This window comes from Homo sapiens, chromosome 3 (genome assembly GCF_000001405.40).
Source record: "Homo sapiens chromosome 3, GRCh38.p14 Primary Assembly".
Taxonomy (NCBI): domain Eukaryota; kingdom Metazoa; phylum Chordata; class Mammalia; order Primates; family Hominidae; genus Homo; species Homo sapiens.
Window position 1 is genome coordinate 54,182,192 of NC_000003.12, and position 24,055 is coordinate 54,206,246.

Genomic DNA, 24,055 nt, shown 5'->3' on the forward strand with positions numbered 1-24,055 from the left:
CCTTGTCCAACACTCCCTGAGAACTCATCAGCATTCAGTAATCCTGTCAGAATGGAAAAATCTTTTTGCTTTAAATGAGATTTTGCTTGATTGGTATTTTTATTTTGGAAATCCAATTTTAGCTTTTTGTCTCACTTGATAATGAGTTTTTTGATAAATATTGTCACCCTTTATTGTAAGCATAAAGAAGAGGTAACAAATGGCTTTCTGTAATGTGATACTGTAATAAATAAAATCAGATGCCAGGAGTCCGCTCGTCACTGGCATAAATAAATGCATTCCTTCCTATTGGGCAGATGGGAACAGGATGTTGATTCTGAGTTGGTAAAACTTTGATTCCCATTCCTTTGAAAAATCCAACGAATGGCTTTATTTTCACATCTAATGTTTCTTCTGTAGTCTGAAACAAATGTTACTACGTTATTTGATTTAGAGTGACTATGTTAGATAACTCTACCAGTTAATTTGGTTGGGTTTTACTTTGCTGTGGCTGAGTGCTCTGCACTTGCTGTGGTTGGTGGTTGGGAAAGTGGGCCCTGGGCGATCACTTCCTCTCTGTGGGTTTCCACTGGGATGGCAGAAACTGCTTATCATGCCACAGGCTGGAAAATAAATCCTGGAAGCACCATATAGCTCAAGAGACAATTTGAAAATAACAATCAGAGTCATGAATAGAAGCCGATGCACAAATTCAGTTAACAAGCAGAGGAACTAATCTATCAGACATTGGGTGGAAAGCCTATTTCTGAGTTTATTTCACAGCACATTATGACATTTCTTTAAATCACAACTTGTCCCCATGTAAAAGATATAATCTACATATTCCTGTGGGAAATAATCAGAGACAAAGCTTTACTGTATTTGTCGTTTCTGAAGTTGACCTCATTCCCCCCCCAAAATATTTTTCATGTTGTGAAATGTAATTTGCTTGACCCCAACAAAATTGGAATAAAAACCATCACAATTACCGGTGGTTAAGAAAGTGGAATTGAGTTTGGGAGAATTGAGGCATAAAGAAAATTTTTTTTTTTTTTTTTTCTATTCAGAAAATATATTGAAAGAAATGCAGAGAGACTTCAAAATTCCATAGTAGTTTGCACCTAATTCTGGTTGATAGGGTTTTAGTGTTTGGAGTGGTAAGCAGCTGTGGGGTTTGTGGTGGCCTGCCCTCTTGCAGGCTGAGAGGGAACTGGGGCCTGTGAAGAAGAGGTGACCTGTTTAGTGTCACATAGCTGATTGGTGGCAGGGTTAGATCTGCATCCTGGCCCATATACTTGGGTGCTTTTTGCCAACGCGCCTTTTTCCTTTCTAAAACTTTTACTTTCAGGAAGCCCATAGATTAAAAAAAAAATCTGTGTATTGTGTTCTCTCAATTTCTAGGTTCACATTTGCCTGAGTTTAATAAGAGCCTGGCTGGGTACGGTAGCTCACGCTTGTAATCCCAGCACTTTGGGAGGCTGAGGCGGGTGGATCACCTGAGGTCAGTAGTTCCAGACCAGTCTGGCCAACATGGTGAAACCCCGTCTCTACTAAAAATACAAAAATTAGCCGGACATGGTGGCGCATGACTGTAATCCCAGCTACTCGGGAGGCTGAGGCAGGAGAATCACTTGAACCTGGGAGGCAGAGTTTGCAGTGAGCTGAGATTGCGCCACTGCACTCGAGCCTCAGCAACAAAAGCGAAACTCCGTCTCAAAAAAGAAAAAAAAAAAAAAAAAAAAAAAAAAAAGAAGAGCCTTACTTCCTTTCATTTGAAGCAAAGTGGAATTACCTTGACTGTGGAATCAAAAAGCAGGAATCATCTGCTTTTTCCATGGCATGCATTCCGGTGCATTTGTGATGGTCTTTTTCAATGAGACACAGCTGTCCCAGGTCAAGCTTGAAGGCAGGGTAATTGTCATGAGCACAAGCACATGTTGTTTTCTATCTCTTTGAGTGCAGGAAATAAGTACTCTTACAGAGTTGGGAAAACAGAGTGATCAGAGATTCAGGCTGATTGGGGAAAGCTGGAGCCCTAGAGGTTCTGTCGGAACATTTGGCGCACACTTGACAAACCCTTCAGGCTGTGCGCTGCCTCTGGTCATTGCTGCAGCCCCAGACTACAGGTAGGCAATGTTTATATAATTGAGTGAATAGTAGCCACTTCCTATGTGTGTTCACTTACTCTGTGCTAAGGCCTTAAGCCCTCCCCCATCCTCCCATCACCAATTTTAGAGGCATAGAAATGAAGTATTAGAGAGTCTGGGTCATTTGCCCAAGATCATGAGCTTAGAGTCCTGAGGTCTGGGTTTGAACCCAGGCTGTGCTTAGCATTGGCTATAGGAGAAAAGGACATTTGTCTCCCCAATCCCCAGAGCATACATAGGCCTTAGTGCAGCCCCTACCTCATCTTTCCCTTGCCTTCATGGCTGGCTGACATGTGAAATGGGCCATCCCATGGGGAAGTACTTTATGGTTTATGTGGGTTATTATCATACTCGATGGCATTGAATCCATTTGGGGACATGAGGTTCTTCAGTTCTTATCTCTTCTTGGTTTGCATTTCTTTGTTTTTTCTTTGATTCAGAGTAGTTAATGTGGGTGAAATGGAGGGAGGTTGCCTCTGGAACTGAAATTCTGGAGTTTTCTGGAGCAAACAATGGAATGTTGCAATGTTTATCTCTGTCAGCAACATTCTGAGGTGAGAGCCCCAACCATTTCTAGTATTAGCGAGGGTAATGACTTCTTAGTGACCAGGGACGTAGGCTAGGTAGGGAAGCCCTTACGGGAGGATTCATTTGGCGTTGTGTGACTACCCCAAAGGTCTGAGCCAAAGGTCCTGTGCCTTAGAAGTGGGAGGGGTTTGTGTATGTTTCCTGTAAGTTCTGTTCATAAATGCTGAAATTCTTCTGTTGACAGGATAGTAATGAACCCATTGGTTAGAAGGTTGAAGTAATGGAAAAACCTGTTTCAATACCATAAGTTGTGATTGTTGTACTTTTCAGATTGCAGTTCTTCTAAATGGCTTATAGAAGTTTCCAAGCTCTGCTTTGCCCTGACACATAAGCTCTTTAGGGTACAAAAAGAAATACTTACATCAGAATTGAACTTTTTTTTTCTGGCAGAAGAGGAGCTTTTGGAACACAAAAAGATTTTGGAGCAAAGAATTTTGAGAAATTCTACTTTAATTTTTTCCCAAGTATTTGCACATTAAGGGCTCTTAGAAGTCCTTAAAAAGAAGCCTGCTTAATTTTACCCTGGCATCTCTCAAACTTATTTAAGATCCAAAATTTTAATTTGTCTGCAGCACACTTCTAGAATGGGGCTTTAGATTTTTAGAGGTCAGTAACATGACATCTAAAGGTTAAATTATGTTTATTCACGAACATATTATTCTATAGATTCAACACTAAATCCTGTAGACCAAAGGATCAACACATTTTTTCTTTAAAGGGCCAGGTAGTAAATATTTTGGGCTCTCTAGGTCTCTGTTACAAATACTCGACTCTGCTGTTGTTGTGTGAAAGCAGCCATAGACAATATTAAATGATGGACATGACTGTGTTCTAATAAAACTTTATTTACAAAAACAAGCAGCAGTTGGATTAGGCTTGCAGGTCATAGTTTGCCAATCCTGTGTTAGATCTGATGACCTGGTCTGCTGATCACACTGCTGCACATTCCCTGCTGTTCCTCTGGAGGTAATGCATACCTCCTCCTTTGATTCAATAACCCCTACTCAGCCTCCCTAACTTGCCTTAAGCATCTCTCCCTCAGAGGTTTTCTTGCATTCCAGGACAGCATGTGGTTTGCTCTCCCATCCTCCCCCAGATCTCTATTGTATCCTCTGTTCCAGCCCTAAGCAACTGTGCTGCCATCACTCCTTTCTTTACCAGTCCTGGCACCAACTTTGAGCTCTTGGAGGGCAGAGACCTTATTACTAGTCTGTATCTCCAGCCCTGAGGATGGGAATGAGGGTGAGGATGGTGTACCCAGCAAGTTGCAGACACTCACTGTGAGCTTGGTGAATGAATATGATGTTGCAATAACTTGATACAGTGTTGTGTTGTGTTTTGCTTGGATGAAATTTTAGAGTTAATAGTAAGTATAGCAGGAGGAAGTGTTCTTTTCAAATAGTAATTTTAAGTATCCCCAAAGACACAGATCGGTTGGGTGAATCTAGGGGTGAATTCCACATCCTCCCAAGATATATGCATCTTGGGTGAAGAAAGAAAGAAATGAGGCTAGTGTGCACTGTGGTAAATTATGCATGTAAAACAGAAAAGCTGGGTGAAAATGATAATTTAGGGGGCATTGGGGAAGTATTTGAAAGATCTGAAGGTGTATTTTTCTCCTTCTTTCTTTACTTTTTAGAGATTAAGTGATATAGACCTTTTTCTCTTTTCACCCAGGCCTTTACAATATTTTTTCTGGTAATTTCTCTTCATACTACATGACTGCTCTAATTACATCTCTAGTTTTAAGATAATAGAACTGCATTTTTTAATGTGCTCTCTGCTGTGTCTGGATTTATGATATCTCTCCTTCCTTATGTCTTCTGAAAAAAAAAATTAACTGAGTTAATATTAAAATAAAGTGGGTGAATTAAATGGGAATGAGACCTTAAAATCTGAGATCCAACCCAAAATGCTCACCAACGGCAGGCCTCTCCATCTCTGAAGCCAGGACAGCGTTGCTCCTGCCTTCCTCCATAATGGGAAGCCCTGCCAAGCTCCAGGTGTGGCCATGACCCTGAGTTGGCCTAGTGAGGAGGGAAAGGAAAGGCTGGCCTGATGTTCCCAGAGGTCTGAATGCCATTCATCTACAAGAGACACTGTGACCACTTTTTCTGAGTCTGCTGCTGGGAATCAGATAATCTCTCGGCATTTTGGGCTCCTGCTGCTGCTGTCCCTGGGAGTGCTGTAGGACGCGGTGACTTTCAGAGTCTTGCAGGGAGAGCAGGTCCTGTGTTGATGCCATTGCTGATGAACGGGGTGACCTTGGAAGAGTCACTTGACATCTTGGCCTTCAGCCTCCAGATGACTGTATCTGTGTCTGGAGGGATTGATAGGCCTCCTGGGCTGTCTTAGATGTTAGCAAATAAAACTTAATATACTCGGTTGAATACCACCAAGTCTGTCTCTTGCTTTGATCTCATAGCAACTGGGTAGACAGAAACTACAGAGATTTTAAAGGCTTGACAATTGAAATAATTGAACACCGCACTTGTGTTCTTAATTTTGTTAAAATACAGGCCCTTTCTTCAAGGAGAGCACATCTGAATAAAGGAAGTAGACACACAAACCCAGAACTGCAGGGCTGGAGGGTAATGGGATCTATGAAGCACTGTGGGGTGTGGAGGAAGGCATCGCTAGTTGTCTGTCTGGAATGGGGACTGGCAGTCAGGAAGGGCTTCCCGGGTGAGCTCATGATTGACTAGGGCAGCAGTCCCCAACCTTTATGGCACCAGGGACCAGTGTTGTGGAAGACAAATTTTCCATGGATAGAAGGGGTACAGGGATGGTTTCAGGATGAAACTGTTCCGTCTCAGATCATCAGGCATTAGTTAGATTCTCATAAGGAGCGTGCAACCTGAATCCCTCGCATGCACAGTTCACAATAGGGCTCATGCTGCTATGAGAATCTAATGCCACCGCTGCCACTGATCTGACAGAGGTGGAGCTCAGGTGGTAATGCTCACTTGCCCCTGCTCTGTGGCCGGGTTCCTAACAGGCCACAGACCAGTACCGTGGTCCGTGGTCCGGGGGTTGGGTGTTTAAGGATGACCTGATGTTTATCATACAGGGAGGGAGGGTGCCAGGCACTCTTATCAAAGAGAGTCGAACTCCAAAATAACTGTCAGGTCCACAGACAGAGCATCAGGGGATCAACATGGGTATGTGCTCCCCCAACCAGCTGCTCAGAACACTCTAATCTAGCTGTGGAACATATGTACACAGAACTCATTGTATAGACTGTTAAGCGTAGGTCATGGTTGTGCTTTTTCCATCTTTTCTATTGCAACTCACTGTTATCAATTTAGAAAGGGAGAACTTAAAAACAAACAAACAAACAAACAAACAAACAAACAAACAAACAAAAAAACCAGTAGCAGGAGAGGCTGTGCAGGAATTACCCTGTAGGGATAGCACAGCTGAGGAGAGCTGTAATGATTCAGCACCAAGGACAGCGACATGCAACCTGTCCAGCTTCAGGACCTGTAAATCCTTCCTTGGTGGTTCATGGGTGCTGAATGTTGTAAGAATAGCGTTCTCGGCAGAGTCTGTGTTCATGATGTCCTCAGGACTGCACCCATGCCATGCTTGACCAGCCTAGGCTACGACACCTCTTGACTGGTGGCCAGGTGCCTCAGAGTCCATGTATTCCTGTGATAGACCACTTGGAGTTGGAATCCAACCATAGGGTTGCTCCTGCTGTTGGAGCAAATGGGAGGCCATGTTTGCTGGGTTTCCTGCCAGAGAATTGCTTCACGGCTGTAGTTTACTGTCGGCTCCTTCATATAGAAGAGATTTTCATGAGTTTTTCAGGTCAAAGATAATGAACACAGGGCCCCTTCTCTAATAGATCCACAAACCCCAAACTTCCAAAATGGATATATATTTATTTTGCTTATCATTAGAATGGCATTAGTGGTGATATTAGCTGCCAAATTCTGTGGAATATAGAGCGTCACTCATTTAGTACTTGGCAGACCCCTCTGATACCATTTGTGGTGTTTGTCCCCAGCAACTCAGGATAATGGATTTGGCCTTTGACTGACTTTGACAAGTTGATGGAATTTTCCCCACCTCACTCCTGCAATACATCCAGCCTGAGTCAAAAGTGAAGCCATGGCATCTAAGCCTCAGGCACAACTCTGCATATTTTATTACAAGCATGAGCTAAAGTAACCCCTGCTTGAGGGAAATGAGGGCTGAAATTTATTGAAGCAATTCTTGGACTTCGTGGTTATAAATCCCAATCTTTTCATTTCTACTTGGCCAGGGTATTGACCAGCAAGCTTTTATGTAAGAACTTAGTTCCTAGCGGGACCCAGTGTGGGGAGTCATATTTGCTTGGATAGTCATAGCTGAAAGGATTAAGAAGAGGCTTCCCATGAGACCAGCTCACTGATACTGTGTGTGGCATCTCTGACTGTGAAAGGGCTTGGGTGTTCCATCCATTAATTAAGGTGCATAACTCTCCTCCATGGTAGATAGTCTTACCTTAAGACCATTTAGGGACAGGGCCAAAGTCGAGCACAAAGGCAGAAAGTGGTCCTGTGGCTCTCCAGACAAGTTTATTCCTTGCTATCCCATCCTTCCATGTCCTTTGAGATCTAGAGCCCAGGAGGTAGGACGGCAGGGTCATCACCATGTGGTGCTAGTTGAATATGCTGTGTGAGGTGGAACAGACTGGCAAGCTGGGCTTCTCGGGACGTAGGATTGGCAAATTGCTGGGATGAGGGGTGCTTCTTGCCTAGCTTCAGGAGGAAGTTGTCTGGAGTTCTGACAGTTTGGAGAGGTCTGCTGGGAGTTCCTTCCCACTGGATTGGGCACCATTCACCAGAGGCCTGATCTCAGCAGTCAGATCCCACACACAGGCCTATCTTCCCCATCAGCTACAATTCAAACGTGTTGTGCCTTCACCTTAGATTGTTTACAAAAGGAGTTGTTTTCTTATGTCATTAAAGTTAATGAGTACACATAATTTTCTACTTTTTAAACTTTAAGCATCACCACCCATTCTCATAAATGCTGTTTGCCCAGTTGTCTTAGTCTATTTGGGCTGCTGTAACAAAATGCCACAGACTGAGTAGCTTATAAACAACAGAAATTTATTTGTCCCAGTTCTGAAAGTCCGAGATCAAGGGAGGGCCTGTTTCCTAGTTCATTGATGGAGCTTTCTAGTTGTGTCCTCACTGTGGAAGGAATGAGCTAGCTCTTCAGGGCCTCTTTTATAAGGGCACTGATTTTATTCCTATGGGTGGAGCCCTCATGATCTAATCATCCTCCAAAGGCCCTGCTTCCTAATACCATCACTTTGGGAGTAAGGAATTTGACATGAATTTCGGGGGCACACACACATTTAGGCCATGCTACAGTATTCCTTACTGGAAGCAGGGTTATTAGAAAGTGTCAATGGCAGGTGAGGTGAGGTACCCAGAAAGGGTGAATGTTTCTTAAATCTGCTTTCCTCTGTAGAAGGGAGAGAGAATGGAAGAACACAAGTTTAGGACCTACTGATGGTGGCTAAAAGGTTGTGCTCTAGGTGAGTGGTGTCTCACCCTGCCACCAGCACACACACCACTTTCCACCTTCCCCAAATTGAGAGTTTTAAAACCTTACATCATTGTACGTTTGATTTTTAGCCCCAGCTGAAATCTCTAAGCATGTCACTATCAGAGTTTCTGTCTATAGAGACCTTTGGACATGAATCTTAAATACTCCTGCTGTTGTGCCTTCCCATCTCTTTCACTTTGATGCCATTGGCAGTGAGCCATTTTGCTTCCAGAGAAAGTAAATCTCTTTTTTTCAATCTCTCCTTATAAGATTATAAGTAAAATACTCCAGATACATTTTACAAACATTAGTTGCAACTGCAGAAGTGTCGAGATCCACTAGACAGAACACAGGGTGTTGGGGTCTGTAGAGCTGAATTCTAATTCTGACTCTGCTCCCTAGTGGCCATGTGATCTTGGATAAAAGACTTAACCTCGTTGGGCCTCTGTTTTCTCATCTGTAAAATGGGGCTATCTGTCTGGAAACAAAAAAAGGACCCCCGCCCCAGAACTGTCATAAAGATGAAGTGGGATAATACCAGAACCTGCCATCATATATGGTGTTGAATTGCTACTTGATCAATGTAGGTGGAAGCAAAAAAAAAAAAAAAAAAGTGCCTTTCTTGAGTTGGATTTGTTTTAATCAGTCACGATAAACCCACTCAAAGAAAGTTTTGAAGAACTCGTATGAGGCCAAAACACATTCCTGCTCCGGGGAAATGGAGGTTAACCCTGAAGCTTAGATGCAGCAGCCTTTTCTATTCACTAAAAGAGAAGCAGAAGTGGAGTGGTCTCAACAAGCAGGGACAGTGTTCTGGGACAAACATGTAATCTTCAGTGGTTTTTTGTGATGGCAGATCACATCAGATTAATGATTTTAAAATGAGTATTTTTCTGCCTTCTGGCCATATTTAATGTTCTAATGCCTTTTCTTTTAAAACATCAACATCATCATCATCATCATCATCATCATCATCATCATCATATCTAATTTAGTGTTTTCAGTTTCATACGCATGCTGAGCAGTCCAAACCCTTAAATGGATTTGTAATCTAGTACCCAGGGAGTGCCTTGGAATGCCATGGGCTGTTTTTTGTCTGTGTTTTCAAGTTGAACCGACCGAGTACAAGGAAATCGGTGATACAGTCTCTTCTCATGCTTGTGCCTGGTGCTGGGAGTGGCAAATTCAGCCTCCCTCATGGACAGGTTGGCTTTGAAGAGCTGAGCTTGGTGTTAGGCAGGGCTGGGTTTGGGTGTCAGGGCCATGCAATTGGGGCAAGTTCTGTAACTTCTTCTGGCCTCTCTTTTCTGATGTTTGGGAATAATGATAGATAAGGAGCCCTACCTGCGCAGGGCTGCCGTGAAGAGAGAATGTACACAGAGCCCAGATCCGGTAGTCAATGAAGGGCCCCAAAAGCGTTAGCTGTTGCTGTTGTTGATTATATTGCATAACAACACCAAATCCACTGTGTCTCCCCTGAACCGGGAAGTGGGGGGATTCTGAGGATGCATTGGCATTGAGGCGGTTTGTTTGGAGGAGGTTTGGGTTTATTTGGGACCTGCCAGCTGCCTTCTAGCACATTCATGGTCTCCCTGCAAGTTTTCTTTAGAATGTCTTGTGCCATCAATAATGAGGAAACCTGGGATGCAGTGCTTTTTTTTTTTTTTTCTTTTTAATTCCCTGTCAGTCAGCAGTGCCAAGTGAATCAAGAGTGGGTGGTCCTTCATCCTCCCACTTCCAGAAAGTTCTTTTAATGACTGCTTGGGGGTGGAGGAGAAGACTTTTATTTTTAACACAAGTGATGTGTTTTGACAAGAATATATCACTGTGGAGAGTTTATGCTAAAGGGGAAGTGCTTGCAGTTACAAACGGAGCTTGCCTTTCCTTCTGCAAACAGGGCATTGATATTGAGTTTCACCATGCAACATGCAGGTGACAACACATAATTGAGACAGGAGTGGTGTGACATGCACAGTATTCTTTGGTGTAAATGTGAAAACCATAGCAGTAGCCAAACAGACCCTTGGGTTATTGAAAACCCAGACACCTAAGGGGGAAGATAGTTGTCCACAGAGAGTACATGCTGTAGAGCATTGGAGCTTCAGGGTCTTGGGCAGATGACTCTTCTCTGAGTCTGTTTTTTTCTCCTGTAAAGCAGGGAATGAGCACGAGAGCCATGAAGTGGTCTCAGCTCCCTACATGCTTTTCCCATATGTGAGGTGTGTGTGTGTGTGTGTGTGTGTTTGTGTATTCACGCCATGCTGCTGTAGATTATTCTCTGGGGACAATCAGTGCTGCCCTCCAGGTATCTCAGCCCAGCAAATGAACCAGGGGTTACTAATGGCACTGCAGCTGGTGCAAGGGAAAGTGACTTCAAATGGAGCAGGTATTATGGAGCTAGCAGAGCTGCTCATTCCTCAGGGAGAATCAGATCATGTAGGAGACCCATGACGGGGAGGAAGAATTTAAGAATTACGACAGCAGTGAAATAATGTTAACCGCAGCCCAGCACAGGCTATCCTTCAAATGTCTTTTCCCCCATACCTGGGATGAGGAGGCTATTCATGATTATAGTTTTTCAGCATGTAACCTTGGCCAGGCGCTCTGCTAAATGATTCACATTTAATCCTCACAAGAACCCTTGGAGAAGGGAACTTTTGTTATCGAACCCCTTTTACAGGTGAAGGCATGAAGCTCTCATGGTGAAGTGATACTTCCCAGTTATGTGGTGAGTTGGAACCTGGTTTCAGCCCAGGTGGTGGGACTTTATGTCCCTATTCCTTAGAGTCCATGGCTATGGCTGTGGGATGATTGAGGCTGCTCCAGGTGACCCAGCAGCAGAGTCATGCTGTGACCAATTACTCAGTAAACAAAAGCAGGCAGAGGGCTTTTTGCTCATTTTCTTGCAAATTGCATGTTGTAGCCAGTTCTTTTTCCAGGGTTCAGTCTTTTTGGAATTAGCTAGAGCTTCTCCTCTGTCTCTGACAGTGGCATTGGATACTATCATAATAGTAAACATTTGAATTCTAATTACCAGGTGCTTGCTAAAATATTTTCAAACATTATCTCATTTAATCTTCATAACTGCCCCATTAAGCAGGCACTATGATTATTTCTAGTTTCTAGATGAGGAAAAAAGGAGTCACTTTCCTGAGGTCTTGGGACCAGTGGGTGGCTATCTAACCTGGGCAGCCTATCCCTAGAGCTCTCACTGAGGACCACTAGGCTGTGCCAGTCTCAGGAGGGACCCCCAGCCTGGATGAGTTTGTTGCAGGAAGAATATTCTCCTTCGAGGCTGAATTACAATGTGTTGTTGTTGAGAGTGTCAGCTCCATGGCCTGAGAGACCTAGGTTCTAATTCATTTCCTTCACTTATGGACCATGTGGCAGTGGGCAAGTCATTGCTTCTCTGTGCCTCAATTTTCTCACCTGCAAAATGGGAAGAACACTATCTGCCTCACTGGGATGTTGAGAGCTCAGGGTCTGGCCCATAGTTGGTTCTCAAACATGGAAGCTGTCAGAAAAACAAATGTTGCATGTTCTCAGTCATATGTGGAAGCTAAAAACAAATTGACCTCGTGGAGATAGAGAGTAGAATGGTAGATACGAGGGGGCGGGAAGGGTGTGTGAGTGGTGGTGGGGGATAAAGAGAGGTTGGTTAATGGGTACAAACATACAATTAAAAGGAATATGTTCTAATGTTAGGAGAGTAGGGTGACTATAGTTAGCAACAATGTGTTGTATATTTCAGAATAGCTAGAAGATAGGGCTTGAAATGTTCCCAACACATAGAAATAATAAATATGCAAGAAGATGGATACCCCTGATAGCCTGACTTGATCCTTACACATTCTATGCATGGAACAAAATGTTACCTTTATCCCATAAAATGTGTAAATATGACGTGTCGATTAAAAGTAGTTAAAAAAAGTCATAATTGAGAAGCAGGGACATGATGATGGGACCATTTCATAATGGCCAAAGTCAGAAACCAGCCCCAGTTCTCCCTCTTTCCTGTCTCCCACCTCCTTGTCTTTCCAAAATTCTCTCTGGAATCTTCCTCCTGGCTGTTCCTTCCTCTTGTCTTGATTACCATGTGGATGGGGCCTGTCTTAGTCTGGCTCTGCTGCTATAACAAAATACCCGAGACTGGGTAATTTATGAAGAACATGAATTTATTTTCTCATAGTTCTAGAGGCTGGGAAGTCCAAGATTAAGGCACTGGCAGGTTTGGTTTCACGTGAAGATGCGTTCCTCATAGATGGCACTGACTAGGTGTCCTCACATGGTGGAAATGTGGAAGAGAGTGAACCCACTCCCTCAAGCCCTTTTATAAGGGCTCTCATCCCATCCTGAGGGCAAAGCCCTCATGATTTAATCACCTCCTAAAGTACCCACCTCTTAATACTATCACAATGGCCATTACATTCCAATACATGGATTTGGGGGGACACATTTAGACCATAGTAGGGCCCTCAACACTTAGGTCTTCTGTGAAAGGGCCTCCTGCCTGGCTTTTCTCTCGCCGGTTGTACCTACTCTGATCTTTCTCACATGGCCACCCATCCAACGTGGTCACTCCCATGCTAAGTCTTACATGATAACCTGTCAATTACAGCCAGCCCTTGAACCTCGGAGGGCATCCAAATTATTTGAGGGAGGTTTCCTAATATGCACATTCCAGAGTCCCGCCTCCCAGAGGTCCAAATCATTTGGTCTGGGTTAGGCCCAGGAATCAGCCGTCTGGCCGTTGTCCCAGGGCATTCTGATGCATGTGATCTGGAGGAAAACTCTGACTCCTAAGAATCAAGTCCAAGTTCCTTAACATGCCTCCCCACCCTGGCTTATTTCTGCGTCTGTGCCTTTGCTAGACCACTGACCATCAGCTCTGTCCAAAGCTCACTCCCACCCATCTCTGCTTTCCTTTACACCTGGCTACTCTGCATTAAGCTTTAGCTCAAAGAGAGTCTGACACAGAGATGCAATGATAGACACAAGCATCATGTTATGTAATATTTATTGAAGGTGTAGGTGTGGTGGTCAAAACTTTTACAGTATTAAGGCATTACCTTCTCATAGCCATGTGAAGTTGATGCAGTTATAGTCCCCACTTTTGTAAATGTGGAAAGTGGGGTACAAGGAGGTTGAGTAAGGTGCCCAAGGTCCTGTGGGGCTAGTGAGCTGAAGAAGCTGCTCAGGTAGTCCAGGTCTAGGGAGACGTGGGGATGGTGATGGTGGCAACATTTCTTTGGACTTTTGTGGTGCAGCGTTGGGTTTTCACAGGTTTGGTGGACACCGTTGGTGTTTAATGTCCAGGCTGAGGGATGTCAAGCATCCTTCAGTGTGTACAGCAGCCCTGCTTGTGGGGAATTGTCCCACACCCCTCATGAGCAGCAGAGATCCTGCTGGACATTTATGCAAGTGAAAACCCTGTTCATAATTATTTGAAGCTAGAACCTAATCTAAACACACATTTTACAATTTCATACTTTTAATAAACACTGAATTTTCCAGGAGCACGACTGCCATTGATCATTGAGTTAGTGTGTTGGAGGAGTCACATCACCGAGGACAATGTTGGTGGCCATCAAGATATGCTTGTGTGGTTGGCATTTGTAGCTGTTGAATTTTCCTGATGCTCTGTAGAGGTGGAAGCATCTGACTGTTTTGCCATGCCTTTCAGTATCATTATGCCTAAGCATTTGTCTACTGAAATACGTATTACTTTATTCTAAACCATTTGCCTTTGATTCTCTTTTATATTATAGGTTGGACATACTATTGATTTTAAAAAATATTATATGTTGATATTATCTAACTTTTATTTCAGGATAGTAAAGAAGATGTCACAAAGTGATTGGTTAAAAAGGCAGTCTTCATCAGATGAAGAACCACTCTGTACAAAATAAGGCCTCTTAAGGGGCAGGAGGGCAGTGAGTTCTGGGAAAGACACCTGATGGATGGATCTTCACAGGGAAGCCGTTAAGTTAAAACTTGAGTCTGGAAAGCCTTTGCTAGACCCCAGCTTGCCTCCTGCCCACGTCACAGCCCTCCCAGTTCTCTTTGAGATGTTAATTTGTTGCTATGAAAATTATCTTGTCACTGACAAACGGAATCTGGAAGAATCAGCTCTTCTTATAAAGTGGTTCCTATGGTATATGCAGGGCTTTGTCAGTTTGCAAGTTATGAATATTTATGTTTCAGAAAAGAGTCCTCATTTAAATTGCGTTTTCTGTAATTTCCCACTTAATTTCACATAGAAAATAATGACATTTCCAGGCTTTGCCTAGGTGAATGTCTTTGGAGATGGCAATTTTTGCACATGGGCTCAAGGGGCATTGGAATTTACTGAATTCCAAATGCAGATGCAGTTCTGCTGCCCTGCAGTTGCTTCTATGTAAGATAATGCATGCGTCCGATACATTATCGACGGAAGATAAATGCCAGACATGATTATGGTAAATTAGACCTTTTGCATTATTTATGAGATCCAATGTAAAACGTGTTTTACTTTCCCCCACTAATGTTTATATAAAAGCTATAATAGGACTTTTAGTAAACAATTTTAAAATTTATTACACAAAGGGACAAAGTTTTTCTTAAATTTTATCTTCAAGATTTAAATTTTTTAAAGAGATTGCATCTCTGTTTGTTGTCCAGGTTGGTTTTGAGCTCCTGAGCCCAAGTAATGCAATGCTCCTGCCTCATCCTCCTGAGCAGGAAAGGGCCAAGTTTTAAAAAGCTGTTCTAGTCTCAGTTGTCGCTGTCTCCTTCCATCAGCTCTTCAAGCAGAAAAGCAGAACTATGGAAAATGTCATGGGACATGTATTGGGTGGGCCTGAGAAGGGCCTTGGAGAAGTCGAGGCTTGGGGGATGGCAGGAAATGTCTTCCTCGTGACCTCAAGTCTGCTGCCATAATATTTAAGCATCTGTAGGAACATGCTGACAGCCTACTTCAAGTCCTCCTCTCCTTTCAGTTTTCAGGAAACTGTGTACTGCCTGACTTCAGTGTGGGTCCACCTCTGGCATCTTTATAGTAGCAGAACTTATTCGAAGTGAGTTTTAATTTTTATTTTTGGTACCATCTTCTTTCTCTGGTTTGGTACTGATCTCTTGAGGGAAGCCGGGAGGATGACTTGCAGGTAAAATTCCTTCCCTGAGCCGTGTGTGTTGGTTTCTCACAGCCAGTCATCATAATATCTCACACTTGTTTAGGAACTTGGCACCTTTTGGGAACTGCTCTTGTGTATGAGGGCCTTTGATCTGCAGGCGGCTGGGAGCTGCTGTCTTGTGAGCTGTTACAGTCTGTGAGGGGAACTGAGTGGAACAGTCGCCTATCCTTTCCATATTCTTCTCTCCATTTTTTGGTTTTCTGCACGTTCTTTGAAGGCTACGTCTGAAATTCCTCCTTCCCCATTTCCTATCTCCAACCTGAAGTTAAAAGTTTCTAGCTTTGGGGTGTTAGAGACCACTTGGGAGCTGCTTTCTCTGTGAGGTGAAGCATCTCTGCTGGGGCTTTGATTAGGAAGGTGATGTTGTATGTGTCTTTGGACGTGATGAAAGTAAAAATAGCATGCGTGAAGTTCCAAGGAAAGTGAGAGTCAGAGGCCAGACTGCTGCCTTGTTCTTATCAGACTTTTCTTTTTTTCACCTTAAAAGATCTAAAAGGCTGGTTCTGTTCTTTACTTGTGCATAACAAGGACGGGAGCAAACCACTGTCTTTGTGTGTCTTGTCTTTGTAATACCTAAAAGAGCCCCCATCCTCTAATAGGCTCCTTGTGGCTCTGCCTATCTGAGGACAAGAGGCCTGACACAGTGAACCCGCCATTGCCTGCAAGGCCTGACTCCTGTGTGCCAACTTGGGCTTTCTAAGGGCAGTTTCATGTATCTTGAACCTTCTTCTAGGAGCTACCTAGGGACAACAGCCTGATGTGAGGCCAGAGCCTCTGGCTTCCCGTGGCCCCGAATATTTCCGTATACCAGCTGGGGTCTCTTGGCCAGGCTACCTCAATAGAGTATTGATGGGCCAGCCGCTCTGTGGGGCTCTGTTCATTTGTACCATTTGCCCACTTTTTATGCTTCAGTTCCAGTATGTTTGGACAATGAAATTAAATTGGTCAATTTTTAGCACATCAAATGGCTTTGTTCTCCTGCTTTGGCACTGAGCCTCGTGTGGAATTGTTTAAAAGGAAGACACTCAGCTTGGGAGCACTGTGGGATTCAAGGTTTCATATCTGTGGATTCTAGGCCATGCCACTGTCCCTCAGGCCCCGGGGGGTTACTGCCTCTCTGGGTTTGCCTGGTGGCGTCCTTGCAGCCCCAGGCTTTAGCCAGACCTCCCTGCAGCTAGACGCTGAGTGCACAGGTCTGGTCGGCACAGGCCATTCTCAAAAGCCTTTGTTCTTCCACGGATTTTTCTGTGCTGAGTGATGGCCGTGGCCGGGAGCTCCTAGATGTCTTGCTCCTTAACGTTTGTTGTGGAAAAGAAGGCTGCTGGCCTGAGGACATTTATTCCATTTCTTTTCTTCCTGTCCCTATCCCTTTTCTTTTCTCATCATTTCTTTCTTATAAACCCCTTATTTCTGGCCTTCACTTCTTGTTTTCCTTCTTCACCTTCTCCTTGACTCTCCTCCTAAGGCTAATGATTGTATGCCCTATTTCAGTATAATTTTCTTTCAACAATTTTTATTTTATTACATCTTTAAACATATACAAAATATAGACTAATAAAACACCCAAATTCAGTAGTTACTAACTCTTTGGCAAATCTGGTTTCCTCTGTATCCCCACTGCCCTCCTACCCTGTCCCTGTGTAGTTTTGAAGCAGTTCTAAGTCATCTTGTCATCTTACCTCTCAATATTTCGGTCTACCTCTCTAAAAGAGGACTCTTTCTTGCTTTCTCTTTTTAAAAATTTTATTTATTTATTTTTGAGACAGGGTCTTACCATCACCCAGGCTGGAGTGCAGTGGTGTGGTCTTGGATCACTGCAACCCCTACGTGCCAGGCTCAAGCGATCCCCAGCCTCCTGAGTAGCCGAGACCACAGGCACGTGCTACCCGTCCCCTCCGCCTCCCGCCACTAATTTTTTTATTTTTTTTTGTAGAGACAGGGTTTTGCCATGTTCCCCAGGCTGTCCTAGAACTCCTATTTTCTTCTTTTTTAGATGAGAGAATCTTAAGGGAGAACATCCTAGAGCCTTTGCTCTTCAGAGGCCCTTAATGGTCATTGAAAGAACATTTATCCAAGTGCAGCACATGAGGTGATAGCATGCAATTGTTAAAAATAGTATTTTGTGTTTGTTTCCCTGAATACACTAGATTTTATGGCAAATTATGTTGGTATTCCATGTATGATATTAACACTAGGTAAAGAAAGGGAGTCAATTTTAAAATAAAAATATTTGATAAATACAATATTTGCAGGGGTCAGAAAACTGTGATCTCAGGGTCAAATCCAGCCCACTGCCTCTGTTTTAGTAAATAAAGTTTTATTGGAACACAGCCTCTCATTTGTGTGTGAGCTAGGTATGACTGCTTTTGTGCTATCCTGGCAGAGTTGAGCAGTGGGATGGAGATTGGCCTACAAAGTGGAAACTATTTAATATCTGGCCCTTTATAGGAAAAGGTTTACCTGTGGAATCGGAGGTATGTGGACAGAGCAGATACCATGACCTTGGCACATCAGTGGCTGAAGTCTGGAAAATTCCAATCAGACCCAACCTCTTGCTTTGTAGCTGATGTAGCTGAGATCCAGGCAAGGGAGGAGGTTGCCCCTGGTTACACAGCTAGTGGGTGGTTGGGTGGGTAGTCCATCCTGAAGTCCCCAGTGCCATGCCCAGGCTCTGTGTTAACATATCTGAGTGTTGCAGATTGGGTTTAGACCTCATGCTGGGTAGCTGTTCCAGAGCAGAAATAATTTGTGGTTTTCAGTAATTTCTCACAAAATGCTCTATTAAGTTTCTGTTGCCCCAGCCCCTTAAATTATTACACCAACTAGGAGAAAAGTAATTTCAAAGAAGTAAGGAGAATATTTGTGAAGTGGAATAATTTACCATCAAATAAAATACACCGAGTGCCTCCTAACATAGAATGCTGAGCTGATTTTTCTCTGTGGTATCAGTTCCATCTCCAGCTTTAGTGGTGGATATCCAGCTGGGAGGAAAGCATCAAGGTAAAATAAAATGCAAACGATCTCTAGCATATATTTGTGATTTTCTCATTTCAGCATCCATTCCTGCTGTAATTGCCAGAGTAGGAACAAAGCTGCAGGGAGAACTGTTCTAGGGTATTGCATTTCATAGCATTTGATTACTTAGGATTGAATAGCTTTGAGATTATATTGACCCTGTAGACTTGTCTCCTGTTTCCCTATTTTCTAAACATTTTAGACAAGTGCTTTGGAAAATAGGAACTTTTTTGTTGTTGTTGAGATTTTAAGATGAAAATATTTCTTTATGGTTCAAAATTGTTATTGTTATATTTTGTGGGAGAAGCAACTTGCTGAAATGATCCTGTGGTTTACTTAGAACTGCATTGTCCAATGTGATAGCCACTGAGCCACACATAATGCTACTGAGCACCTGAGAGTGTGTGGCCGGTCTGAAATGAGACGCTCTGTAAATGTGAAATAAGCGCTGGGTTTTGGTGACATAGTACAGCAAAACGAATGTGAAATCTTTCATAATTTCGGAATACTGATTATATGTTGAAATCACGTTTTGTATATATTGGATTAAACCACATATATCATTGGAATTATTTTCACCTGTTTCCTTTTACCTTTTAAAGCAGCTACCAGAAAATTTGAAATTACACATTATAGTTAGCATTATATATACTTCGAAAAGTGCTGAATATTGAGATGAGATAATTAAAGAAATTTTAAACAATTAGAGCCATGATGGGAAAGCTTGGCTTATTTGAATAAGAATATTGCTCTAATGTTGGAAGTTACGGTAACAAAAGAAGTATAGCATTAACTCAAGAATTATTGATTGATGGAAAGAACATTTCACGTAGACTCCAACCCTTATGGGTCGTGTTCAGTAAATGTTTACACCTTTAGGTGTCCTCAAATCACTTATAGGGAATTGTAAGATTATTTAGTAAATAGTCTACAACTGACTATTTGGTAGAAGATTTGAGTTTGAACCTCATTTTATATTATACCCCAAATAAATTCCAGATAGATTAAGAAAATAAATGTAAGGAATGAAATTATCGAAAGACTGTATCATCATCTAGCCAAATGTGTATTTGATTTTCAATTTAAAAGCAATAGAAGAAACTGTAAAGGAAAAAATTGAATTGACAACAGAGAAATCGTTTCATTCTTTAAAATAAATTTGATAAAATAAGTTGGACAAAGGTATAAAAACAGGGAACTCATCCCAGCAATTCCTGACCCCTTGACCATATCCAGTTCAGAAAATGACATTTAATGCACATCAGAACTCTGTGAATTCAAAAGAATTAATGAACAGTTTTCTGTTCATTAATGGGGTTGCCAGATTAAAGAAATTAAACTATGGGGCACTCAGTTAAATTTGAATTTCAGATAAATAACACATAATTTTGGATATAAACATGTGCCATGCAATATTTGGGACATACTCTTAATAGAAAATACTGTTGTTTATATGAAATTCACATGTAATTGGGCTCCTGTGTTTTATCTGGCACCCCTAGCCTGGGAATCCACCCTACAACGTGCAGAACGGGAAGGGAAGCGTGGGAGTTGAATAGTCATGTGACTGCACTTGGTGCAGAAGGGACCTGGGACCAGCTGCCCTGAAAATAGGCATTCAACCAATTGTCCCCTTTGACCCTGCAACTCACTGCTGGTTTCTGAAATGTGGGGCACCTCTGTGTCCTAAGCCTGTTCAGGATTCTGTGAGCTCATCTGGCTGTCTCACGCTGCAGGCAGTTAGACTGGAAGAATCCAGCCCCAAGTCCCAGTTACCACGTCTTCTTCATGCCATCTTCTAAAATGCATGAATCTTGTTTGTTGCAGTTGCTTCCCCATTCCTTATACTGTGAGTTGATATACCCATTTTCTTCCTTCACTGTTTTTTAAAATGTCATTTTAGGGAGAGGAGAGAAGTGCTTGTGGTCTATTTACTATGATTAATAGAAAGGCAGCCTTAATCAGGACACATATTTTAATTATCCAGTTAATGCATGGATTCATTTTGGTTGAAAGAGAAACAATGTATACAAAGTGAGAGTTCTGTTGATTCCCCAGTTCCTGGCAAAAAAACCCAGGAAACTGGGGATAATAGACATAGGTAAGAAGACCATATATGTCCCAGGAGAGTCCTGGTTTATGTCTGATGTCCTGAAAGTTATTAATAGTTATTAATTGTAGTTATCAGTAGTGTCCCTTCTCTCCCCACTACTTGACTCTCCAAAGAGTCCATGTTTGGAGAGGAAATTCTGCTGTCAAGCAAGGCTTAGGGGAGAGTGTATGTTAAGTGCAGAAAGTGAACTCACCGGGTCAGGGTTGGGAGGATTTTTCTCTGGAGAAAACGACTGTGTCTGGGGATCATGGCTGGTGACACACATGTAGAGCTTCTAGTCAGCTTTGGGTGCTATCAGCTGCATGTCAGCCCGACTGGCCACGTGGTACCCAGATAAGCATTATTTCTGCATGTGTCTTTGACAGGGTTTTTGGATGAGATTAGCATTTGAATCAGTGGACTCAGTAAAGTAGATGGCTCTCCCCAATGTGGGTGGGCACCATCCAATCCTTTGAAAGCCTGAACAGAACAAAATGAAACGGGAAGGGTCCCCTTGTCCCCCTCGCAGGGCGTGCGATGGGGGTGTGGCTCGCTTCTTCACTGCCTTGTTGCTCAAACCTCTAGGGGAGCATACAGATGGGCAGGCTGTGGGGCTCTGACTCCATGGCGGTGTCTAGGGGTGAATGTTTACAGCTCCTGAAGCCCTTGTGGGTGTGTGTTACAGGGTGCTCCTTTAGTTTGTCATCTGTAGGCAGCTTGTGTTAGCTCAGTTAGACCCTCTACCTTGTTGCAAGGACAAAGGGCTTTCTGTATCCCGGGTTCTTGCCTTGGTATACTGGAAGAATCTGATCACACATGAGCTTGGAAAATGAGGGCAAAGTTTTATTGAGTGGAAGCAGCTCTCCGCTGATGGGGAAGCCAGAAGGGAGATGGTTTTCCTCTGGAGTTGGGCCACTGTGTGGCCCCAGTTCTCCTTCAACTCCCTCGGCCAAACTCCGTCTCATCCCGCTGGTCAGTGGCCTGCCTGTGTGCTGGCATCTGTCGGTGTGCTGTTCTGCCGACGTGCTTCCTCGATGTCCTCTCGCTGTCCGGCCGCTTGTGTCTTCTTCCGCTGATGTGCCTCTTGACGTCTGGCTGCCTGCGTGTCTGCTTGCTAGGGTCTCAGATTTTTATAGGCCCATGACAGGGGTATGGCGGGCTAGGGTCGTCTTGGAAAATGCAACATTTGGGCGCGAAAGCAAGAGTGCCTGTCCTCACCTAGGTCCCTGGGAGTGGGACCCTAGCCAGGGACCCGCCCTTCTCTACTGTGCACTTCCTGCCTGCTCCTGTATCCAAAAGACAGAATAAGGAGGAACTCACACCTTTTTTCTTGCCTCACCCTTTGAGCTGAGACATCTCATACCATTTTCTTTGGCCCTTGGATTGGGATTTCTACCATTGGGTCCTCTGATTCTCGGGTCTCCAGACTTGGTCCGAATTACCCCACCAGCTTTTCTGGGTCTCTGCTTTATAGATGGCAGATTGTGGGACTGCTCAGCCTCCATAATCACATGAGCCAATTCCTCATAATAAATCTCCATATATATATACACATACACATTCACATATGTATGGAAATATATGTGTGTGTGTGTATATACCATATATATAACCATATGTATATGGCTCTGTTTCTGTTTTCCGGAGAACCTTGGCTAATATAAGTGCCCAGTCCTATGTGCACAAACATCAAGGATAACCAGACCTTGAGGAAAGCCACGAATGTGAAAGAGAGAGGTGAAAACAATCAGAAAAAAGGAATTCCAGGGAAATGGAGACATGGGGCCAGGCACGGTGGCTCACGCCTGTAATCCCAGCACTTTGGGAGGCCAAGGTGGGCGGATCACGAGGTCAGGAGTTCAAGACCAGCCTGGCTAACATGGTGAAACCCTGTCTCTACTAAAAATACAAAAAATTAGCTGGATGTGGTGGCACATGCCTGTAATCCCAGCTACTTGGGAGGCTGAGGCAGGAGAATCGCTTGAACCCGGGAGGTGGAGGTTGCAGTGAGCCAAGATCGCAGCATTGCACTCCAGCCTGGGTGACAGAGCAAGATGCTGTCTTGAAAAAAAAAAAAAAAAAAAAAAAAGAAAAAGCAAAACAAAAGAAATGGAGACATGGAAGAGGAGAAAAAAATGGAAAAACTTACCATCTCCTCAAAGATGAAAGAATATATTGCAGGTAAAAAACAAGAACAGAAAGTTTTTTAGAAAAAAACATAGAGAATAAGAAAAAGGACTTGGAAATGAAAAGTGATTGCCATTATAAAAAATCCAGTAGATGGTCTGGAGATAAAGTTAAGAACATTCCCCATAAGTAGAATAAAATAATGAAGACATGGAGTTAGGTAAAAGATGAATAGGAAGCCAGGAGATTGATCTAGGTGGCATGACACCTGACTAACCACGGCTACGTGAGGATAACAATAGAGGGGGGAAAGTTATCACAGATATAAAAAGCAGCCTTCCAGAACAGATGGAATGTCAAGATGGGGAGGACTCACCTAGTGTAATGGGGGATGGGATTTTTTTTGTTTTTTATGGTAGAGACGGGGTTTCACCATATTGGCCAGGCTGGTCTCGAACTCCTGACCTCAGGTGATCCACCCGCCTTGGCCTCCCAAAGTGCTGGGATTACAGGTGTGATCCACTGCACCCAGCTGCAAGTGAAAATTTAAAGCAGCTCATAACGCTAAGAAAAGCAAAGTTGTACAAGGAAGGAAATATAACTATGGCCTACTCCCTGGCTTAGCAACGAAAATGTGTTTATGGCCAGTGTTTACATTATTGAATGTTTTGAAAATTATGATAACTCTGTTGGGGAGATGGAGGGAGAGGAAGTAGGGCATTGTTGTGAGAGCTAAACCTTCATTTACCACAATGGGCATCACTTGATAATGCCTATAATTGATGATAAGCCATATTAACATTCTTGATATTTAGCAACTTGGAGGCAGACACCAAGGTAAAGAGCAAAAAGAGTTGAAAGTAGTCCCTCTGGGGCTGGAATGGGGTGATGCTGAGTCGGGGAGGAAGGCACAGAAAGGGAGGTAAGAAAGGGTTGCGGTGGAGGATGTCCTCTTGTATTAAACAGTCAATGTAGTTTATGTTAGGGTTGCCAGATAAGATGCAGGATGCCTACCTAGTTAAATTTGAACTTCAGATAAACAGTGAATATTTAAAATTGTAAGTACGCTCATGTGATATTTGGGATGTACTTACATCAAAAATATATCTGGTGTTTATTTGAAGTTTAAATGTAACTGGGCACCCTGTATTGGTTGCTTAATCGATTTGGCAAGCCTGTGTTATATGTATGTATTACCTTGATGAAAATAAATAGAATGTATAATTATTTATACATAGAAAACGTTCGAAGATGGTGCACCTTAGTTGTGGGCACTTCTTGGGTACTTCATTGGGAAAGGGGAGTGGTCTCATTCTCTTTTCGCATTTCTAGAAATGTTCTGCTGCAAGCATATATTAATGTAAAAGTAAAGAAAGAGTCCTAGAAAT

The 24,055-nt window shown here is 43.1% G+C and overlaps 1 protein-coding gene across 1 annotated transcript in view, besides 2 other annotated features; it reads left to right on the forward strand.

Annotated features, from left to right (window-relative positions):
* Positions 1 to 24,055, forward strand: part of CACNA2D3 (calcium voltage-gated channel auxiliary subunit alpha2delta 3) — a 952,006-nt gene that overhangs the window by 59,640 nt on the left and 868,311 nt on the right. The gene's annotated exons all lie outside the window — the stretch shown is intronic.
* Positions 5,991 to 6,285: a silencer, noted in NCBI's record as "tiled region #13251; HepG2 Repressive non-DNase unmatched - State 10:DNaseD, and K562 Repressive DNase matched - State 10:DNaseD". NCBI's record gives its function as "represses a minimal TATA promoter and a strong SV40 promoter by Sharpr-MPRA in HepG2 and K562 cells {active_cell/tissue: HepG2 | K562}" and the evidence as "EXISTENCE:reporter gene assay evidence [ECO:0000049][PMID:27701403]".
* Positions 21,043 to 21,544: an enhancer, noted in NCBI's record as "H3K4me1 hESC enhancer chr3:54237261-54237762 (GRCh37/hg19 assembly coordinates)". NCBI's record gives its function as "activates a minimal SCP1, AML or CMV promoter by ChIP-STARR-seq in naive H9 embryonic stem cells {active_cell/tissue: H9 hESC(naive)}" and the evidence as "EXISTENCE:reporter gene assay evidence [ECO:0000049][PMID:30033119]".